This window comes from Homo sapiens, chromosome 20 (assembly GCF_000001405.40).
Source record: "Homo sapiens chromosome 20, GRCh38.p14 Primary Assembly".
NCBI lineage: Eukaryota > Metazoa > Chordata > Mammalia > Primates > Hominidae > Homo > Homo sapiens.
Genome location: NC_000020.11, coordinates 8,126,784 through 8,146,928, shown reverse-complemented (window position 1 = coordinate 8,146,928; position 20,145 = coordinate 8,126,784). Strand labels below are relative to the sequence as shown.

Genomic DNA, 20,145 nt, shown 5'->3' with positions numbered 1-20,145 from the left:
CCAATAAACATACTTGTCTTAAGTTAGTAATAGCAGATAATGTTCAGTAAATTTCTACTTGCTGCTCTTTATTTGATATAATACGTTTTACTGTCATTCCTATATCATAAATAGTGAAGATTAATATAGTAATTAAGAAGATGTTATTTAGTAATTTACATGAATCTCTAAAGAGTCTTTAAGCCAAATCAAAAACAATCAAGGGGCAAAGCAAAAGACCTTAACAAAACCTCGAAATCCTGAAGAATGAGAAACAATTCAGCAAGAAAAAAAAGAGTCACTGGAATCAACATTAACATTACAATGATTTGCTCATCAATGCACTGATATAAGTCAATAATAAATACTAAAGAAACTGAGACGAAATGACAAAGGCACCACTAATCCAAACTCACTTCTAATACCAGTATACCTTTTTATAAAAATCCCTGACTGAATAGTAACTGATACATTCTCAACATTTGCTCTGAGCCAATCACTGTGGTGAACTTCACGTGGCTTTTCTCCTTTAATACTTACAATAACTTAAGAGGTAGACACTATTATTATTCCCATTTTACAGATACCTAGACCAAGGCTTGGGCTAAGTGACTTCCTCAAGGAAAGCCAGTTAAGCTGGTATGGGAAGCACTGGAAATTAAACCTTCAAGTACGCACTCTATAACAGTGCTTCTCAACTTTTTCCATTATTGCCCTGCAAGGGAGGCTTTTTAGGTTTTTATTTTTCTAATCATCCCCCATGACACTTCAATATTGCAGATAGGCTGAATATCTGTTTATATGCTGTATGTATAACTGTGCCTTATACCAAAAAAAAAAAAAACAAAAAAAACAAAAACAGTAAGAAGATTTCTTTTGTTCCCCAAAACCACTTTTCGTTTCCTTGGAAGCGACATGGCCCCTGTTGAGAATGGATGCCCTATACTGGTGCTGTCCAGTACAGGAGCTGCTGTGGCTCCCTTGTGACTACTGAGCACTTGAAATGCGACTGCTGAGACTAAGATGTGCTGCAAGATTTCAAAGACTAAGAATGGAAACAGGAATAGAAAATAGCTCACTAATGATTTCTGACATTGATTACATGTCAAAATGCCTACAGTGGATTAAATTAAATATAGTATTCGTATTAATTCCATCTGTTTCTTTTTTACTTGTTTTAATGAGGCTACTAGAACATTTACAAGTGTCCTGTGTGGCTCACGCTATATTTCTGTTAGGCAGGGCAACTCCAAACCTTCACAGGGACACTCTTTAACAGGGAGATTTCTCACAAAGCAATCTCAGTGCTCTTGTCACACAATTCCAGCAAGGCAGTTTATGGTTTTATCCACATATGCAGCTACCATTTAATTTTTAACATTTAAATAGTACAAAATAAATCTAACTTCTTCTCTAAGTGTCAGTTCTTCAATATCTAACTAGAGCTGTCATGTTGCTACCCTCTGAGCTACGCTTTACCAGGCGGAGGTATGTCACCAGGTTTATCGTGGCCTCCTCCCCAACAACTCACATGTTGAAGTCCTAATCCCCAGTACCTCAAAGTGTGATCTTATTTAGAGATAGGGTCTTTACAGATATGATTAAGTTAAAAGGAGGCCTTAGAGTGGGCCCTAATCCAGTATGACTGGTGTCCTTATAAGAAGAGAACATCTGGACACAGGCATGTACAGAAGGAAAATGATGTGAAGATGCAGGGAGAAGCAGGCCATCTACCAGCCAAGACGAGAGGCCTGGCACACATCCTTCCCTCACGGCCCTCAGCAGGAAGCAACCCTGCTGACACCTTTATCTCCCACTTCCTCCCAAACTGTGAGAAAATAAATTTCCGTTGTGTAATCCACCCAGGCTATGGTCCTTTGCTATGGAAGTCTTAGTAAACTACTACAAAGCATAACCCTAAACCTCAAGGCTCATGTCAAGGGCCAGTCCACAGACCCATGGCACATTCCTCAGCACCACTGTCAGAAAGTCTCCTGGCCAAGGTTGACCACAATTCTCACTCCACAGCGATTCTCATGTTTTTATGGTATTACAAGAGAACACACATGAATAGAGGCATGCACGTCTAAACTAATCGATACCACAGAGTCAACAGGAAAAGTAACAAGCGATGTTCCACAGGGATTGCCCAAGACTTGCATCAGGAAGCAGCAGGGCCAAATACAGCAAATAGAGACACTGGGGGGAAAACAGCTATGCAACGGGCAAAGAGTTCTAAGGGTCACAGAAAATCAGATGTGATGCTTGTCAAACTAAACATGAGCAATACAGCCCTGACTATGAAATGAAAACATTATAAACGTAGTCTTGGATGCCAGGTGAGGAATTAAGATCATTGGAGTAAAACATCCACGTGTATCAGCATTGATGAGACTTTTCCTCCAGGAGTGTCTCTACTCTGAAATTTCCCAAAATAAAGAAAAGCAGAAGAGATGAAGAAGGTCCAGAGTAGAGGGTGCAAAACAGTGGAGAGAAGCAATGTGAAGATACTGGCTTCCTACAGAACAAGCAGAAAAATCCCTTTTAACACAATGTAGGGAAATGTTGGAAGAATTGTTCTTCAAGTGTCGTGCAAGATCCTTCAGATAATCCACGAGAGAACCAAATTAAAGCCCAGATCCCAAATCAACCGAGGTGCTCCTGGCTTAGTGGGGGCATCAGATGAGAAAAACCAATAATTTCAGTAACATATAGCTCTGGTGGGTATGCAGTGGCACCTCAATGTGTTTTTTAATTTGCATTTCTCCAATGACTAATGATGTTAAACATCTTTTCATGTACTTATTGGCCTTTGGGGTGGCGGGGAGGGCAGTGAACTGGCCGGATACTTTTAAAAGCATAGTATATCATTTATCATTTTCATCAGTGGTTCTCAACTGGGAGCAATTTTGCACCCCAGGGGACTTTTGGCTATGTCTGGAGACAATTTTGGTTGTCACTACTGGGAGGCTTTGCAACTGACACCCAGTATCTAGAGCGAGGGATACTGCTAAATATCGTATAATACACAGGCCAGACTCCACAACAAAAAACTACTGGGACCAAATGTCAATGGTGCCAGGGTTGAAAACATGGTTTTAATGGTTTCTGGTTGACTTTATACGTCTAAAATCCTGCAAGGACCTACGCAGTATATATGCAGGCCCTTGCCATCCAACCACATTATCTGAGCCACACTCTCCTGTGCTAATTCTGCTTCTCTCCTTCAAAATCTTGTGTTCCTTGGCTCTTTGGAATACCCACACCTGCTGTTCCCTCCACCTGACACATTCTTCTACTCATGCTGGCCTAAATCCCACTTGTCATAAATAGAATTTTCCAGGGAAACCTTCCATGCTTCCTATACTCACTTGTACTTTTTTTCCTTCATAGCAGTTATAATGAAAATAATTGTACCTCTATTTGCTTAGCATCTGTCTCCGCAATAAGGGCAGGCATGAAATCATTAATCATCATCAATCCACAACACTAGCACAATGCTTAAAAGAGACATCAGTACATTTTTAAAGTATGACTGGTGAATGAATGGATGAAGGGGTGGAAGGTACTGCAGCAAATAAAAACAAGGAAGATTCTGAAAAACATCAGTTGGGGTTGCTGGGAGCCATGTTGCCCACAGCCATGATAAAGAAATTTCAAAGTAGTGGTGAGGGCAGAAAAAGACTTTGGAAGGCTGAGAAGAAGTAGGTAGGAGGTAAGGACAGGGAGACAGTGACTATAAGTTACACTTGCATAGTAGAGGGAAGGAGATGAAGAAGAAGACGGTAACTAAAGGAGGAAAAGGGACTGGGGAACATTGTGTTGGTTTTGAGGTTGGGATTTTTACTAGTAAAGGCATATTGCTATGTTCTTAGGAAAGCTTCAACTGAGGGGAAACTCATATAGACACTGTTAAAAGAAAGGGGAGTGGTGTCAGATAATAATGAAGTCAGGATTCAGAGATGCCAGGAAGGTCGAGCTCCAAAATATAAATGCAGAAGGTGAGGTATTTCTCAGGGGCAGGAGGGCAGCTGGAATAATGGAGGTGGCCCAAGTACATTAAACGAGGAGTGGAGAAAGGAGGAAATTAAAAGCATTGTTCCAGGGACTTCCATTGCCTCTGTACACAAAGAATAGTGTAGGTGGAAGTTCATTATAAATCAGATTTAGAACTATGTCTTGTTACTTTTCTCACTTTAGCAATAAAGCACAAGTATTCTTTTTTCTCTTTGTGAATCATTATCGTGATAGGATGTTTTCACAACCATGCATCTTTTGTTCTGTCACTCCCAACGCTTCTGAATTTCTTTAAGGGCTTTTCATTGCAATATTTGGGTGTATGGGTGAGCATATTTTTCAGAAAATAGGAACTAATGGTAAAATTTAGAATATGAGAAATAAATACATTAAGCATCATCACCTTCAACCAATATTGAATTGCAGTGTAGTATACACTCAATCTTAAGACATATTTGGACCTTAAATGAAATCAGCACTGTAACAGCAGTGAGCTCTGCATTGCCAATAAATAGTTTCCTTCTCAAACACACATGGAGAAATCCCATTTAAGAAGGTCACAGAGTCCCTTAGGACCCTAGGAGATTTCAGATGGAATGGAAGGACAAGGAGCAAGGTGTTCCAACCAATGTAACACAACACCTCAAAGGTCACGAAGGTCTCATAGGAGCATGACTGCCCTCCAGGTCTGCCTCAAGGCTGCACACTCCCCTGTGTGAACCCACTGTGAGCCAGACAAACACCAGACAGTTCCTTCATTCCACAAATATCCCCTGAGCATCAGCACCTCCCAGTGCCAGGCCTATGCTCTCCCCTAGGGAAAAAAATAATAATGATAATTATAAAGCTATAGCCCTCCAGAAGTCCTGCTCTAGTTGTAATATAAACAAGGCCTATCTACCTCCCTGCACAAGTAATATAGATCTGGCCTCTCAGTTGACACTGTCTTGCATTCTGCATCGTGCTTGAGAGCAGGCAACTCACCCTCTACATTTCCTTCATGTCTACCATATTCTTGTTCTTCCATGGTCCATGATTTCTATGAGAGGCCATGGGACAAGCCTAAATAGGAATCAGCAAAAGACAACATTTACACGTATGTCGAGAAGAAGAAAAGGTGGAGTAACAGATATAAAGAGTCTTGCTGAATGCAGAAATGTCACTTACTCGACAATGAAAAAAAGACCTTTAACACCATACCTGAATACCTGTCTTTCCACATGCATGTTTCCACGCTGACTGACTGATGTAGAATATCTTTAAAGACTATAGAGCATACATTGCCCCCTCCTTTTTTTTTTTTTTTTTTTCGGAGTATCGCTCTGTCGCCCAGGCTGGAATGCAGTGGCGCGATCTTGGCTCACTGAAACCTCTGCCTGCCTCCTGGGTTTAAGTGATTCTTCTGCCTCAGCCTCTCGAGTGGTCGGGATTACAGGTGTGCACCACCACACCCAGCTAATTTTTGTATTCTAGTAGAGACGGGGTTTCATCATATTGGCCAGGCTGGTCTTGAACTCCTGACCTCAAGTGATCCACCTGCCTTGGCTTCCCAATATGCTGGGATTACAGGCGTGAGCCACTGCGGCTGGCCTGCCCTTTTTGTCTCAAAGCAGCAATGAGGTTTTCCAATGCTCACACATCTTGCACAGTGTAGACAAAAACGGACTGTACATACACCATGAAAAAGAGCTATTTTGAAGACAATAGCTCAAAAACTGAGTTTGCAGGGATCTAAGCTTCATATGTATGAATCCTAAAAATAACAGAGATTCTTTGGAAAAGTCTATCAATCTCTTCAAACTTGTATTCATTTAGACTCTATTAAAAGCTTTTTGTTGGCCACGTTCGGTGGCTCACATCTATAATCCCAGCACTTTGGGAGGCTGAGGCGGGTGGATCATGACATCAGGAGTTTGAGACCAGCCTGACCAACATGGAGAAACCCTATCTCTACTAAAACTACAAAATTAGCTGTGCGTGGTGGCACAAGCCTGTAATCTCAGCTACTCAGGAGGCTGAGGCAGGAAAATCGCTTGAACCGGGGAGGCAGAGGTTGCGGTGAGCCGAGATTGCGCCATTGCACTCCAGCCTGGGCAAAAAGAGCAAAACTCCGTCTAAAAAAAAAAATAAAAAAATAAAAAGTTTTTTGTTGTTGTTGTTGTTACTAAAAGGACCCTGTTCGGGGACATCATGGTAGACTGGAAAGGACACTGAATTTGGCCAGAAGACGTAGTTTTAAATTCCTATTCCAGATCTACTTAGTTATGTGCCCTTCGACAAATCACAATCACTAGCCTCGATTTGCTTCTACGTGAAATGCAAAAGACAAACGCTTGCTCTTTTTCCTACCACCCGAGGTGGTCTTAATGACTGAACAGGGGTAAGCAGGGCTGCTATATAAGCATGAATGCCTGCTATTAGGACTTAGTCTGGATTTTGAATTCCAGAGGAAATATTACAGCAAAACTTCATTTTACTCAACAGTAGTACTGAAGGAGAAAACTATGTAGGATACTTAGATGATTATTATATTTAGGACTGAAAGCTGTGAAATCCTAGAACCGCAAAAGGCCATATCAGCCAGGATTTGGTGCGAGAAACAGAAATTTCTCTTGAATTTTGAAGATAAAGGGACTTAATATAAAGTAAGCACTTGACAGAAAAACTGGAAGGGTTGGAGGAGCAGGCTTTAGGTTGGCTCTCCATGAATGATCTCAGAACATAGCAGCACAGACCCTTGGGGAGAGCTATTGTATCTACCACATTCAGAAAGGTGAGAAATCAAGAAGGAACTCCCGGGGTCCAAACAAAACACCAGCTTTGTTGAAGCCAAAGAAGTGTAAGCTGCCAACAGGGAGTGGCCACTGTCACCACTGCCTCTCAGAGACACTGAAGAACTATTACAGAAAGTCCCACCTCTTTTAGCTTCTCACGTATCTGTAGAAACAACCCAAAGGATGCAGGAAATTGGCCCCTTTAATGTTTCTGCCCTCCATATCTCATATGCATGAATTTATTTGGTGGAAATATTAATTTTCAAGAAGAATGTTCGTCAAAAAGGAGTCTGGTAAATGTAGCTTTAGAAGTCCAGATTTTGTATTATAAGAAGTCCTACTAAGAGGATGTAGGAATCGATGCTATGTGAGATTCAACCATATCCAACACAGCACACCTGGGGAGGATCATGATTGGCATCTTTAACATTTTTTGACCAGATCAATTGCTGATTCGCTCTATGGTTTTCCAGCTTCATGAGCTTGTATGGCTTCTTCTATAAAATGGATTAAAATTAAATTAAATTTCCCTTACTCTTAACTATTTCATAGACAACTTCCAAAAAAAATGTTTTTTTTAATGGCAAAATAATATCTTAATCTTCTAGATATCAATGCTATATATTGATATCCATGTGACTACTTCAGGTAAATGTTTTCTTTACTAACTAATCCACTTTCTGTGATCTTGTACATTAAACGTCAATTCAGTAAAAAGAAACAGAACATTAACCAAATATTGTAAACAAAAAAAGCCCTTGAAGGCCGGGTGCGGTGGCTCACACCTGTAATCCTAGCACTTTGGGAGGCCGAGGTGGGCAGATTACCCGAGGTCAGGAGTTCCAGACCAGCCTGGCCAACATGGCAAAACCCCCGTCTCTACTAAAAATAAAAATAAAAATAAATTAGCTGGGCATGGTGGCATGTGCCTGTAATCCCAGATACTCCGGAGGCTGAGGCACGAGAATAGCTTGAACCCGGCTGCAGAGGTTGGCAGTGAGCCGAGATGGTGCCACTGCACTCTAGCCTGGGTGACAGAGCAAGACTCTGTCTCAAAAAAAAAAAAAAAAAAAAAAACCCTTGAAATAAAAGACAGATGTAGGATGCTTTTATTTCTGTTTTAATATAAATAAAATAATTTTAGTATAAATAAAAATAACTTTTTTCCAATTTTATATAATAGTTTGTTACTCAATTTATAATAATTTAGTTTCTTGATAAATGCATAGATTTAGTCAACCTCAATTAATAGGTACATGCAAACCATTTTTGGAATACAAATTGAAATAAAAATTTTGAGAATTAACACATGGTAATGATAATAAAATCGAACATTAGCTCTTAAAGAGATCAGAGGAAAACCAGAGAGACTCTTAAAGAACATAAGCATCCTTTATAATCTATTCCAATTAGTTAGTTCCTTTATATCCTATTTCAGTTAGTTAGTTACAAAAATCAATGGCTTTTTTATGGTCATATATGTAAATGACCTCAGAAATATGTCTATATTTCCTTTGCCTACTTACACATAGGGGCACAAGGCTCTGCTTAGGGGGATCAGACATAGAACAGAAAGGGAAAAGATTAGATGGAAAAGACTGTGAAATATGCCTGAGCATTTGGAATTTATGATATGATCTGAAAGGTTGCATGAACCTAATTATTAGCTCCAGTAACAAGAAGACCAATGATTTCAGTTACCAGGGGTTTGTTATTTAAGTGGAGACCCATAGCGTTAGTCAACAATTCACCAGCAATCCCCTTCCATTTTCTGCTGGCGATTCTTGTTCATGATAACATGAAACAATTCTGATAAGGAAACATTTACAGTTTACCAAATCCCACATAAAAAAGTAAAATGTTCCCATTCCATTTATATACCATTGCAGATAAATATAACTTGAAGCTATTTACTGATAGGCTAAACTTTCAAATGAAACTAATAGCCACTGCAAATTATCCTCATTCACCATAGGTGGGGAAATATTAGTGTTAAGCAAGATAAGAGAGAAAACCTATGAGAGAAAATTATATTCCAGCAACAGTACTGTACTAGTCAGCTTTGCCATGCCAATAACAGCCTGAAGGCATTACATTTCCTCTGTAAATTACTAGGGTTTTGTTGAACTGTTTGCTCCTTCAGGGCATTTACTATACCTGCTATACTTCCCAGACTTGGGACAGACAAGAACCCAATCAATGGCCATCTAAACTGACTGTAAGTCACTTTTGTTGCTGTTGTTCAAGAGGATCAGTTCAGCAATAATAAAAATGTTTTAGGCTGAAGAGGTTTTTTTTAAAGTTTTCATTCAAAGTAAAAATAGCTTATTAGATTAAAAACAAGCAAAACCAAACTATAAAGTTAGAAGTCAAGATAAGGGTTACCCTTAGAAGGGGACGTAGGGACTGGAAGAGAGCACTCAGGAATTCTGGGGCAAGTGATGCTGTTTCTTGATCTGGTACTGATGACATGGCAATGTTCACTTTGTGAAAATGGATCCAGCTGGACACAGGATTTGTGTGTTTTGTTGTACGCATGTTACACTGATTTTTTAAAAAGTTTCAAGTAGTTTTATTGATTTGCTTGCAAAAGAGTTATGCTCTTACACTTAGATTACAGTAATTATTGACTGCCAATGAGAAATTCTCAAAGCTCTTTGGACAAGAAAAATGGACATAACTGGGCAAATTTAAGTGGCTCCTTAGAGGGCATCTGCTAGCCTTCCATTCTAAAATCCACCTTGCACTTTGTAGTTGCTCCATCCACATCAGCCAGCTACCAACTCAGAGAAGTTTCCTCCCTGTTTCCCATAACCTTTCCAAAGTGAACGCTACTAAATTCCCACCTCGCAAACCCTTTTCCCCTCTGCTCTCTCATTAATCTTGTGAGTGTCATCTTGTCATCATTTACTTGTCATCATTTTGGAAACTGGAACAGCAGATTCCACATAATGCAAAAGTTCTAAGCTTTTGTGTAGGATGCTGGGAAGTGTGCAATATACTAGTATTTCTTAAATTACCTGTTTTAGCTGTGGGGGTTGGAGGTGTGGTAAAGGAGGGAGTTACTTGATTCAAATCCAGATGGCATTAACGCAAATCCAAACTTCTGAGTTTCATCAGACTTCTCAGACAACTTAGTCTAGCAATTATTTTTCCATGTTAGAATATGCTTGTAAGACAGAACGTGCAATGTTAAATTATATACACATATATACATAAATATATTTTATATGGAATTTAAGTAAAAATAAACTTTTGGATTATTTGTAAACTGACTTGCTGTAGAGAATGGATCCTGCTCTAAATTACGTACTTATTTTCCGTGAAACACCTGGATTTTTAAAAGAAGGTGAGAAACCTGATTTTTCTCCAAATTATAAAGTATAAAATCAAAACACACATTAAAGGGAATGGAAGTAAGGTCTGAATTTTTCCACTAGTAGAATAAAAGAGCCATAGAACACCTGCTAATCACCTTGATAAAATTCACGTCCATCTTATTTTTGAGGGACAATAACTTTTTTTTTTTTTTTGAGACAGAGTCTTGCTCTGTCGCCCAGGCTGGAGTGCAGTGGCGCGATCTCGGCTCACTGCAAGCTCCGCCTCCCAGGTTCACGCCATTCTCCTGCCTCAGCCTCCCGAGCAGCTGGGACTACAGGCGCCCGCCACCACGCCCGGCTAATTTTTTGTATTTTTAGTAGAGAGGGGGTTTCACCGTGTTAGCCAGGATGGTCTCGATCTCCTGGTCTTGTGATCTGCCCGCCTCGGCTTCCCAAAGTGCTAGGATTACAGGCTTGAGCCACCGCGCCCGGCCGACAATAACTTTTAAAAACATGTTTTATTGAAGGTTGCCTGTATGTCAGGCTTTATACAAAGCAATGCATATGCATTCATTTATTTAACCTCAACAGCTGTTCTGAGTTAGGAAATATTACAATTTGCATGTTACCGTTGAGGAAACTGAAGTTGGGATGCGTTAAGCAACCTGCCCACAGTAAGATCTGAATTTGAAAGGTAAGAATGAAGAAACAGAAGGAATAAATAAATGAAAACCCTTCCATCCCTCAGAGGTTGTGCGACAGTGAGACAGAGTGCTTAGGCATGGAAAACAGGGCCAAATCAGTGGCTGGGGGTCCTATTGTACAGTTTACAGTCCTTGCTCTTTCTCTCCATGTCCTGCCCAATATAGACCAAGGCCAAGATCCAGAAGAGAGAGGAGCTTCTCTCACAATCTCCCAAGCTCCCTAGCTTAGATCAAGAAAGTAACTCTCCTTCCACTGTCTACCTCACCAGAATTCTCCCACAAATACCCATAGTCCTTTACACCCACCTCCTACCACCAGAGCCTGCTAACAGACAAATGCAAAACAAAAGCAAAGACATGAGGTTGAATTTTTTAAATATCATTAGGTCAGTCCTTTATCTTCATGCCAAGTTCAGAAGGACAGGTATAGCCTTGATGTTCAGACAATATACACCATGAGTTTTAAAATACTGAAATAGTCAAAAAAACTCCAGCTACCTACCCACCCATCCACAGACCCTGGGGACTCCCAGACCTCCCCATGACCAAGCAGCAAAAATATTAACGCCTGGCCCTGGTACAACAGGGTATCTCCAGGATCTATTACCCCCCTGCTGTCTGTTGTGATTGTTTAGTGCCTATGTTAAAGCTTTCGACTACCACCCTTAGAGCATCCACAGCCTCACTGTGACTTGGTAGGTGGCCAGCAAATTATGCATGGCACTGCAACCTCTGGGTGACATCTTCCATTCCATATGGTGGTCAAGACAACAAGACCAGTGATTATACTGCTTTAATCACTTCAGGAACAAGAGATAATTTCTTCACATCCTAAACAGCCCCAAATTCATCATTTTTGAATGTCCTGTAACATTACCACGCTTTTACACAAGAAGCAGCAAAAATACAGAGAAGCTAAGTGATTTGCCTAAAGTCATGCAGCTTACTGGTGAAAGAACTAGGAGGTAAACTCAGGCCTTTGATTCAAGATCTGGTTCTTTTTTGTCTTCAACACACTGTCTCACTAAGGTACAATATAAATAGCCAGATAACTTGAACTGGCTTGATTCTGGAAGGGCAAATACGAGCTGAGAAGAGTAGAAAAGGGATGCCTGGGGAAGAGAAAGGCAACCTTAAGAAAGGCTGGGTCCCTTGTAGTCCACTGATCAGCATGAAGACCCAGAGAACCAAAGAGCCTGCAAGATAGCTCATTATATTCCAGATAACTTGACTCCTGAGTGCAGTCTAGGTTTTTTTTTTTTTTTTAAAAAAGACCTGAAATTCTTCTGGTCTTCTCCTTAGTGACTATGTCCTTTCTTTCAGGAGGGCTTCCTTGGAAACTCACTGCTGCAATGCTCAGAAGGAGCTCTTTTCAACTTCTTCTTTGGTTGGTATTTCACTAACGTCCTCTCTATTACCCTCAATGCATCACCCAATCTCTCTCTCATTGGTGTTTTTGATGATTTTTGTCTCCTCCACCTAGCATGTAAGGTCCGTAACAGCAGGGATTTTGTCTACTTTTTTCACCACCCCAGAATCCAGTCTAGGATTGGCAGTAATAGGTGAGCAAGAAATATGTGTTACAGAAATGCACATAATGAAAGTCATCTACCTGGATATACCAAAATGTGTTTTCATAGAATACTTTCATTCTCAATGTGATGTTGGCTATTCTCTCCCAAACAAGAAATTATAGAGAATTATTTAAAATACAGTTTAGAATCATCACTGTATACAAATCCAGAGCTTACGCTGAAACTCCCTTTTCTAAATTCTGCAAAGTCTCTTTCTCTTTCCTCTGCCCTTCACTCTCTTTCTCAGTAAATCCATCATCACATCACCTCTCTATTCAAGGATCTCAAAATGGGCAAGACCGTCTTGTTTATTGCTGAACTGCATTTTCTTTGTCTTTTTTTTCCCTGACACAAAGCATTTAATCTGCGTCTGAATTTATTGTTTAGATTCTATTCCATTTACAGAAACATTCAGTACAATTAGACTGGAACAGAAAGAAGAAAAGTGTGAAGCCCATGGTAAAAAGATGTATGTTTACATCCTTGCCTACAGCATTTAATAATTGGCACGAGCTTTCAAGGAAGCTGTGGTTCATACTCCAAGTTCCGTTTGCGCTTCCAGCTGGACAAAATATAGACACAGACGCACTCAGCTAAGTAATTGGATTCACTACCTGGAATATTTAAATTGTTTTCAGACACTGGAAAATGGCTTAAGAAGATTAAAGAAAAATACCCTAGAGGATAACAGGCTATAATTTACTAGGTGGAAAATCTTTTCGGCAAGAAGAACGCCTCATTCTCCTATAATTCCTTCTGATTAAGAGATGTATTAGTCATTTGGACTTAAATTTGCTTAGAGCCTGGCAACTCGGGTTTATTTCAGTAGGTTTTTCTTATCGAACCTTTAGAATGACACCCAGGACATAAAACTGATACCATAATGTTCTCCATCCGAAGATTCGCATGTTTTCAGCTGGATAACTAATTTACGTGTTTTGAAGACAACTGGGGTAGAGGGGAAGGGGAAGTCATTTGAAGTCCTGGGGTCTGGGCCGCTCGTAAAGCATTAGAGACCCCGGCGCTGGGCTAGGCTCTGCCCTACCTGGCAAACGGTGCAGGTAAATCGTGGGGCAAACTCTCAACCTGTCTATTTCAGGCAGAAGACTCCAATCAGCTCAGTTCTCAAAAGTCAGCCCTCCCCACTTGCCTGCAGGCCCATGAGCCCTCCAGGACCCCTCAAGGGCCCCCATTCTGTTCACGCCCTCCCCAGATGTGTCCCCGCAGCCCTTTTCAGGGACCCTCACTCCGGAGCCAGGCGCTGAAGTTTGGCATCAACGACCACCTGTTGGCTGGACCGTTGTGTCCTCCGCCGCCTTGGCTCCCACAAAAGCGCCAAGAGGGTTCGCAATCACTAAAGTGTTTTGAACTTCAGGTCCTTCCTTCTTGAAATCGGGCAAAAGAGGTAATAGGGGGTGCGTCCGCAGGCGGAGAGGGACGCGATTTGTTCACACCAGGCGCTTTCCAGTTGGTCCCAACTTCACACTCCCTACTTTCCGAACTCTCAGGACCTGTCACCAGGCAAAGCTTGCCCCTCCCTCTCCACTGGCCCAAAAGATGTAAGACCCTCAGGGGGCGCCTGCCAGACCCAGAAAGGATGGCAACTACTGAAGCCCGATGAAACAGGAGCGCGCGCAAAGCTTCTGCCCTTGGACATCCGCTTTGGCAGATGCCAACCTGTGCGCCCGAGGCTGCCCCTGCCCGCTCCCAGTGCGCCCATTGCATAACGCGCCCCTTGCCCCACCCCCACGACGCCCGCCCTGCCCGGTGCCCGAGCCAGCGCCCCGACTCGGGCCGCCCCAATACTTACATCATCCCACTTGACGAATTTGGTGCCCTTCTTGAGGCTGTCGGACACGCACACGGGCTTGAGTTGCAAGGCGTGCACTCCGGGTTGAGCCCCGGCCATCTGGGCTCATCTGGGCTCCGGGCGGCCCGGGCGAGCGCGGCAGGGACTGGGGACCGTGCGCGGGGCGCGGGGCGCGGGGCGCGGGCTCCTTTCTCTGCTCCGGAGGCGCTCGACTCTGCTCCCCGCCGGCCTCCCCGGCCTCCCGGCCTCCGCACCTCCCTCCGGCGCCGCTCAGCAGGCAGAGCGCGCGGGGGCGCAGCGCCCGGCCATGCCCCGGGCGGGACGCGAGGTCTGGAGCCCGCGGTGGATGAGGAGCCTCGGAAGGCGAAGAGAAGCCGAGCCGGTCAGCCGAGGCTGCCAGTCGCGGCGGATTCTGCTCCTCCGCCGCCGCCGCCTCAAAGCGCACCATTCAGCACATCCTCTATACACAGAGGGAGAGAGCGAGTGACACACGCCCGGCGCCCCCCCTAACCGCTCTTTTCCCTCCTCCCTCCTCCTCCCCCCCGCCCCCCTTCCCCGCCACCCTCGCTCGCTGGGTCCTTCCTTCCCCCCGCGGCTCCCAGCCCAACTTTGCACGCTGGGTCAGGCGCCAGGAAGCGGGGACGCAGCGGCACCTCCTGGCTCCCGAGCCCCATTGCAGCCAACGCCTGCCTCCCGCATTCGCTCTGAGCATGCCCCGTGCCCTGGTTGCAGAGGTGCTAGGGGTCCCCAGGAGCCTTACGCTCTTTGGGGTTTTCTTGGGAATTTGGGCTCGAGCTCCGGAGCGTCTTTGGATCCCAACTGGCTGGGAAAAGGGGCCCATCGGGAGGAACCAAAGAGGCAACCCCTGGCTTTTGGCTCTAGCTGGAGCTCTCCAGCGCCAGCCACAAACCAGCTTTTTGAAGAGAATTATCATTTATCAGCAGAGAAGAGCGCAGTTGAGAGGCTCTTTGAGGAAACCTGGCCGCGCCTGAGAGTTTGCAGCGCGCTGATCTTGAAACCCGGGCAAACGGTTACGTTGTGCTTTCGAGACAGAAAGCCCATCCTAAAGAAAGCAAAGGTTTTATTTTCCGAGGAAGAAAGAGGGTGCCCTCTCCCGCTCCTCTCCTTGAGTGTGTAGGATGTGTGGCGGGTGGGGGAGAGTCTTATTAATAGAAACTTGCTCATTTAGGAACATAGGTCCAGGAATGTTTGTCTTCACTCCTTCCACAAACATTTCTCAATTCAAGAAAGAAAGGGAGGGAGGGAGGGAAGAAGGGAAAGAGGAGGACCAGAATGGATAAAATTTTAAAGACTGGTAATACCAAATGCTTGAAAGGATGTGGAGCAACTGGAACTCTTTTTTTTTTTTTATTAAGGAGAGAGAGGAGAGGGAGAGAGAGAGTGAGTGAGTGTGAGAGAGAGAAAGAGAGAGAGAGAGAGACACACGCGGGAGGTGGGGGGGCGGAGAGAGAAATAGCTTGGAACTCTTGTTCATTGCTGGAGGGAATATAAAATAGTAAAACCACTTTGGAGAATAGTTTCTTATAAAGTAAGATATTTACTTATCATACAACCTAGAAATTCCACTCCTAAGTATTTGTCCAAAAGAAATGAAAACGTTCAAGTCTGCAGGGACTTGTAAAGTGATGTGAAGAACTTTCTTCTTAGTAGCCTGCAAATGTCAATCAACAGGTGAATGGATAAACAAACTGTGGTATGCCCAAATATTGGAATACTATTCCACAATAAAAATGAGTGGGCATGCAAGATCAGGGATGAATCGCGACTTTAAGCTTTGTAAAAGAAGCCGGACACGATAGACTGTATGCTGCCTGATTCCATGTGTAGGAATTGCAGAATAGGCAAGATATTCTATGTTGACAGAAAGCTTGCCTGTGGCCAGGGATAGGTAGAGATGGACAGGGAAGGGCTACGAGCACCTGATGAGCATGTCGGAAATGTTCTATATCGTGTGTGTGTTTATCAAAACTTGTAAGTTCTGTAAGTACGCCTAAATTGAGTGCAGTTTGTTTTAAATAAATTATATCTCAAAAAGGTTGATTTTTAAAAAGAAGAAAGAATACGAAGAGAGAAAAATGGAGAGAAACACTACATTCTCTTAATCCTTCATTCTCCCTGTTCTCTGCCCTCAGGACTCCAAGGCCCAATGCTTATGAACTCAGTCAAAAGATTACCAAAATCCAATACAGAAATTTGCTATTAAATATTTCAATGCATTTAAAATATACTTATTGGTAGCCAGCTGTATACTAGCCACTATTGTAATCACCATGGATAACCTGGTGAACAAGACCCATGACTCTTGCTGTCATTTGAGGGTCTTGCCTTGTGCTTGGAAGCCAATTGCTACAAAGAATTTCATGAAAAACTGACTGGTTTCATTTTGATCACATGTCCCTAAACTAAAACCTGAATGGTCCACAGTCCCTCTAGCCAGCAGCCTTGGCTTGCTAATTACCTCACAGAAGGTATCAGTCACCGTCTCAAGTCGATTTTCTCTACTTCAGAGTACTGCAATGAAACTCTGCTTCCAGGGCTCCAGAACTTCTCAATTGTCCTTACAACTGATCATACCAAATTGTTTTCCTTTCCTTTCCTTTCCTTTCCTTTCCTCCTTTCCTTTCCTTTCTTTTCCTTTTCTCCTTCTATCTCTTTGTTATTTACTGGAAAGATTATTGGCCAAATAGTTTTTACCTGTCACAGTGGCTTAGGAAGGCAAGACAGGGCTGCGCTCACTAGAAGAGGAGATTGGAGAGTTACAATGAGCTCTAAGCAAAATAAGAAGTAGATTGAGCCTCCTGTGGTAGTTTATTGCATCATAGCTCTCTGCTCCCTGCTCCTTTCTGCGTCCACACATTTTTCTTTGTGACCTTACAGTTTTTACTAGACACCCTGTTTATTTATCCATCCCATTGATGTTGGACAATGTGACTTGCTTTGGCCAATGGCATGTTTGAAGATGTGATATTAGCAAAGGCTCAAAATATGCTTTGAGGTTGGGCTTTCCCTCTTGGGTTTCTTATCATTTCCATGAGATAAACATGCCTCAGGGAGCCTCTGATCTAAGGAGACAATCAGGACAGACCTAAGCCCCATTTACAGCTTGGAAGCAAGTCCAGTAGAAACCATCCTAGATCTCCCAGACTCAGCCAACCTGCAGACTCATGAACATGACAATAAACGTTCATTGTTGAATGGCACTGAGTTGGGAGTCATTTGGTAACCACCATTATTGGCAATGGATAGTTGAGTATTTCATCTAGCATCCCTGATTCCTCCCAGCTGTTGCTGTGAACGTGGACGTAAAAAGGAGAGAACGCTGTAGAAATCTGAACAGGATTTGTCTTCAAGACAAACATGGGCTGCAAGAGTTTCTTCAGCCAGCAAAATGACGCAGTTTGTTAAAGGAGAACTACAGGATAAATACCTTCAACATGTAGCATGATGCTTGAAGCAGCATGGTTTAACTCCCTCATTTTCCACACCTTTTGTTCAGTATACAAGATAGAAATGTTTCTAAAGTGTGGAGTTTTTTTGTTTTTTTCCCATTCTTTTTTTTAAATTATTATTATTATACTTTAAGTTTTAGGGTACGTGTGCACAACGTTCAGGTTAGTTACATATGTATACACGTGCCATGTTGTTGTGCTGCACCCATTAACTCATCATTTAGCATTAGGTATATCTCCTAATGCTATCCCTCCCCCGTCCCCCCACCCCACAACAGTTCCCGGTGTGTGATGTTCCCCTTCCTGTGTCCAAGTGTGGAGATTTTTGCTATGCAAAGGGATCTGTAAGAAATCCAAAATTGTGTGAGCCAGGCCTGTGATCCGTCAAGTTCGGTGCTGTGTACTGTTTTTTGAAACAATAGGAAGGTCTGTTTTTTGTGAGAGCACAGAATTGCCCTCTGGGAATGTCAGCCTCAGGGAGCTGGCAAAGCTAACCTTTATTGAGCACTCACTGTGGGTCAGAGCACTAAGCTAAGCACTTCCCAGACACTAAAAAACATAACCCTTCCTATTCAACACCACTCTCCACCCTCTTTTTCTTGTAAGCAAACCCTGACTTAATTTGGGTGGTCGTCATGCTTAGGAAACATGGCCCCTCTCTCTTTCCAAGGAACAAACTATGATTGGCCTAAACTAATGTCAATAATTCCATTCCCCTTTGTCTGTAACTGGTTTAAGAGCTATATGAGGGGCTCAGTTCTGACTAATGTCTTCAGGGAAATTCTCTTTCTCTGTCTCATATTGTTATGTAAAGAGGACACTGACAAGAAAGATGCAAAGAAACCTGGTCCTTCATGAGCTTTTTAAACCCTTTAAATTTTCTTTAGACTTTTTAATGAGTGAGATAATAAATCTCTTTATTATTTAAGCTTTATTGTTACTCTCAGCTGATCTGGTAGATAATATTATTGTATGCTATTTTACTGATTTATATACTAAAGTTTGGAGGATGGATTAACCTCCTCCAGTTACAAAATTCGGAATTGAGATGGAGACCTAGGAAGTCTGACTTTAGAACCTAGACTCTTAACTACCATGGTAGATACTTCTACAACTTATAAGGCAGATATGAGTAGTTTCTCTCTCCTTTTAACCACAGTGTAATATAAATAGTCCTAATTTCCCTAGAAACTAGATTGTGGTATGTACTCCAGTCTCTTGTCAGCTCATAACTCACTTGAGGCCTGCCACAGTGGGAAGGACAGTGTTTTGATTTGAATAGACATATCTTTTAACAGCCAGTTCTACCAATTACTACGTACGTAACCGTGGGAAAGTCTCTTATCTCTTCTGAAATACAAGGTCCTAATATGTAAATGGAGAAATAATAATAATGTCAAAGCTTTTTATGTCACATACTCTTCTCAGGGTTTTACATTTTTAATGCATTCACTGTCATATTAACCCCTAGGAGCCGGGTTACTATTATCTCCACTTTATAGCTGGGTAATCTGAGTCAGAGAAGTGTTAAGTAGTTGTTCAACATTTTCCAGCTAGTAAGTGAGTGAACCAGAATTTAAACTAGGCAGTTTGACCCCAGAGCCTACATATTTAACCACCACAGTAAGCTGTCTTAAAGAGGTATTGCAAAGATTAAATGAAATCATATATCTAAGTCCCTGTCACAGCGGTAATCAATAGTAGTTAACACACATATGGTTATTCTGAAATTCTACTATATTCCCTTTCTATGCCCTAAATAACTCTTTTAGTCTTAAAAGACAGCATTCTAATTCTGTGGTCTGTGATTTAGTAAACTTCTTTTTGGCTGCATTGATTCTATAAACTTTAATCATATTCATTTTTGTCTCTAACCTTCTAGAACTGAAAAGCTCTTTTCCATCATGAATAAATGAGTTCTAATTGCATCTAAGAATCAGGGCTCCTTTAACTCACCTTTTTTGATATAAGAGAGATATGGAGAAAAACTACCCAGAACCAGCTTTATAATAACCACATCTGGGTTACAGTCAGTAGCCTTTGGCAGGTCAAACCCTCCCATATGTGCTGATCCATGCTCTTCCCTGCCTGGCTGGCCAGAATGAAAGTGATCCTGGTGGTGACCTTGGAAGCCACGCACTGAAGAAGGCAGAGCTTCTGTTAGTTTGAGTCCCTGATTAACTCCATGGAAAAAGGTCACCCTGATGACTTGTTCCCCTGCCCAGTAAATTATGTGAACAAGAGGCACACTTATAAAGTATTAGAGCCAAGAATTAAATGCCTTTGGCATCATTATTTTCATTACTTTTCACATTAATATAAGAGATAAGGCTTACACCTCTTGAATGGTAAATAAGAAAATGCATCATGATGAAATTGCCAGCTTCTGACTCAGTGAGTTCTGTTATCAAGTAAAACACTGACAGAGGCAGAGTCTCAAAGGAAGACAACTTAAAATTATCACCCACACATTGAGAAGAACATCTTCCTTAGAAGC

General features: G+C 42.2%; 1 protein-coding gene across 2 annotated transcripts in view, besides 1 other annotated feature; it reads right to left on the bottom strand.

The window, feature by feature from the left end:
• The window catches only part of PLCB1 (phospholipase C beta 1), a 752,635-nt gene extending 737,972 nt beyond the window's left edge, over window positions 1-14,663 (bottom strand). For both annotated transcript variants that reach the window (NM_182734.3, NM_015192.4), the window contains exon 1: window positions 14,179-14,663. In NM_182734.3, the coding sequence (NP_877398.1) occupies window positions 14,179-14,277 (99 nt within the window). In that variant the 5' untranslated portion in view covers window positions 14,278-14,663. The remainder of the gene's footprint in view (window positions 1-14,178) is intronic.
• Window positions 14,438-14,577: a silencer, noted in NCBI's record as "silent region_12668". NCBI's record gives its function as "represses an Ori minimal core promoter by ATAC-STARR-seq in GM12878 lymphoblastoid cells {active_cell/tissue: GM12878}" and the evidence as "EXISTENCE:reporter gene assay evidence [ECO:0000049][PMID:35858748]".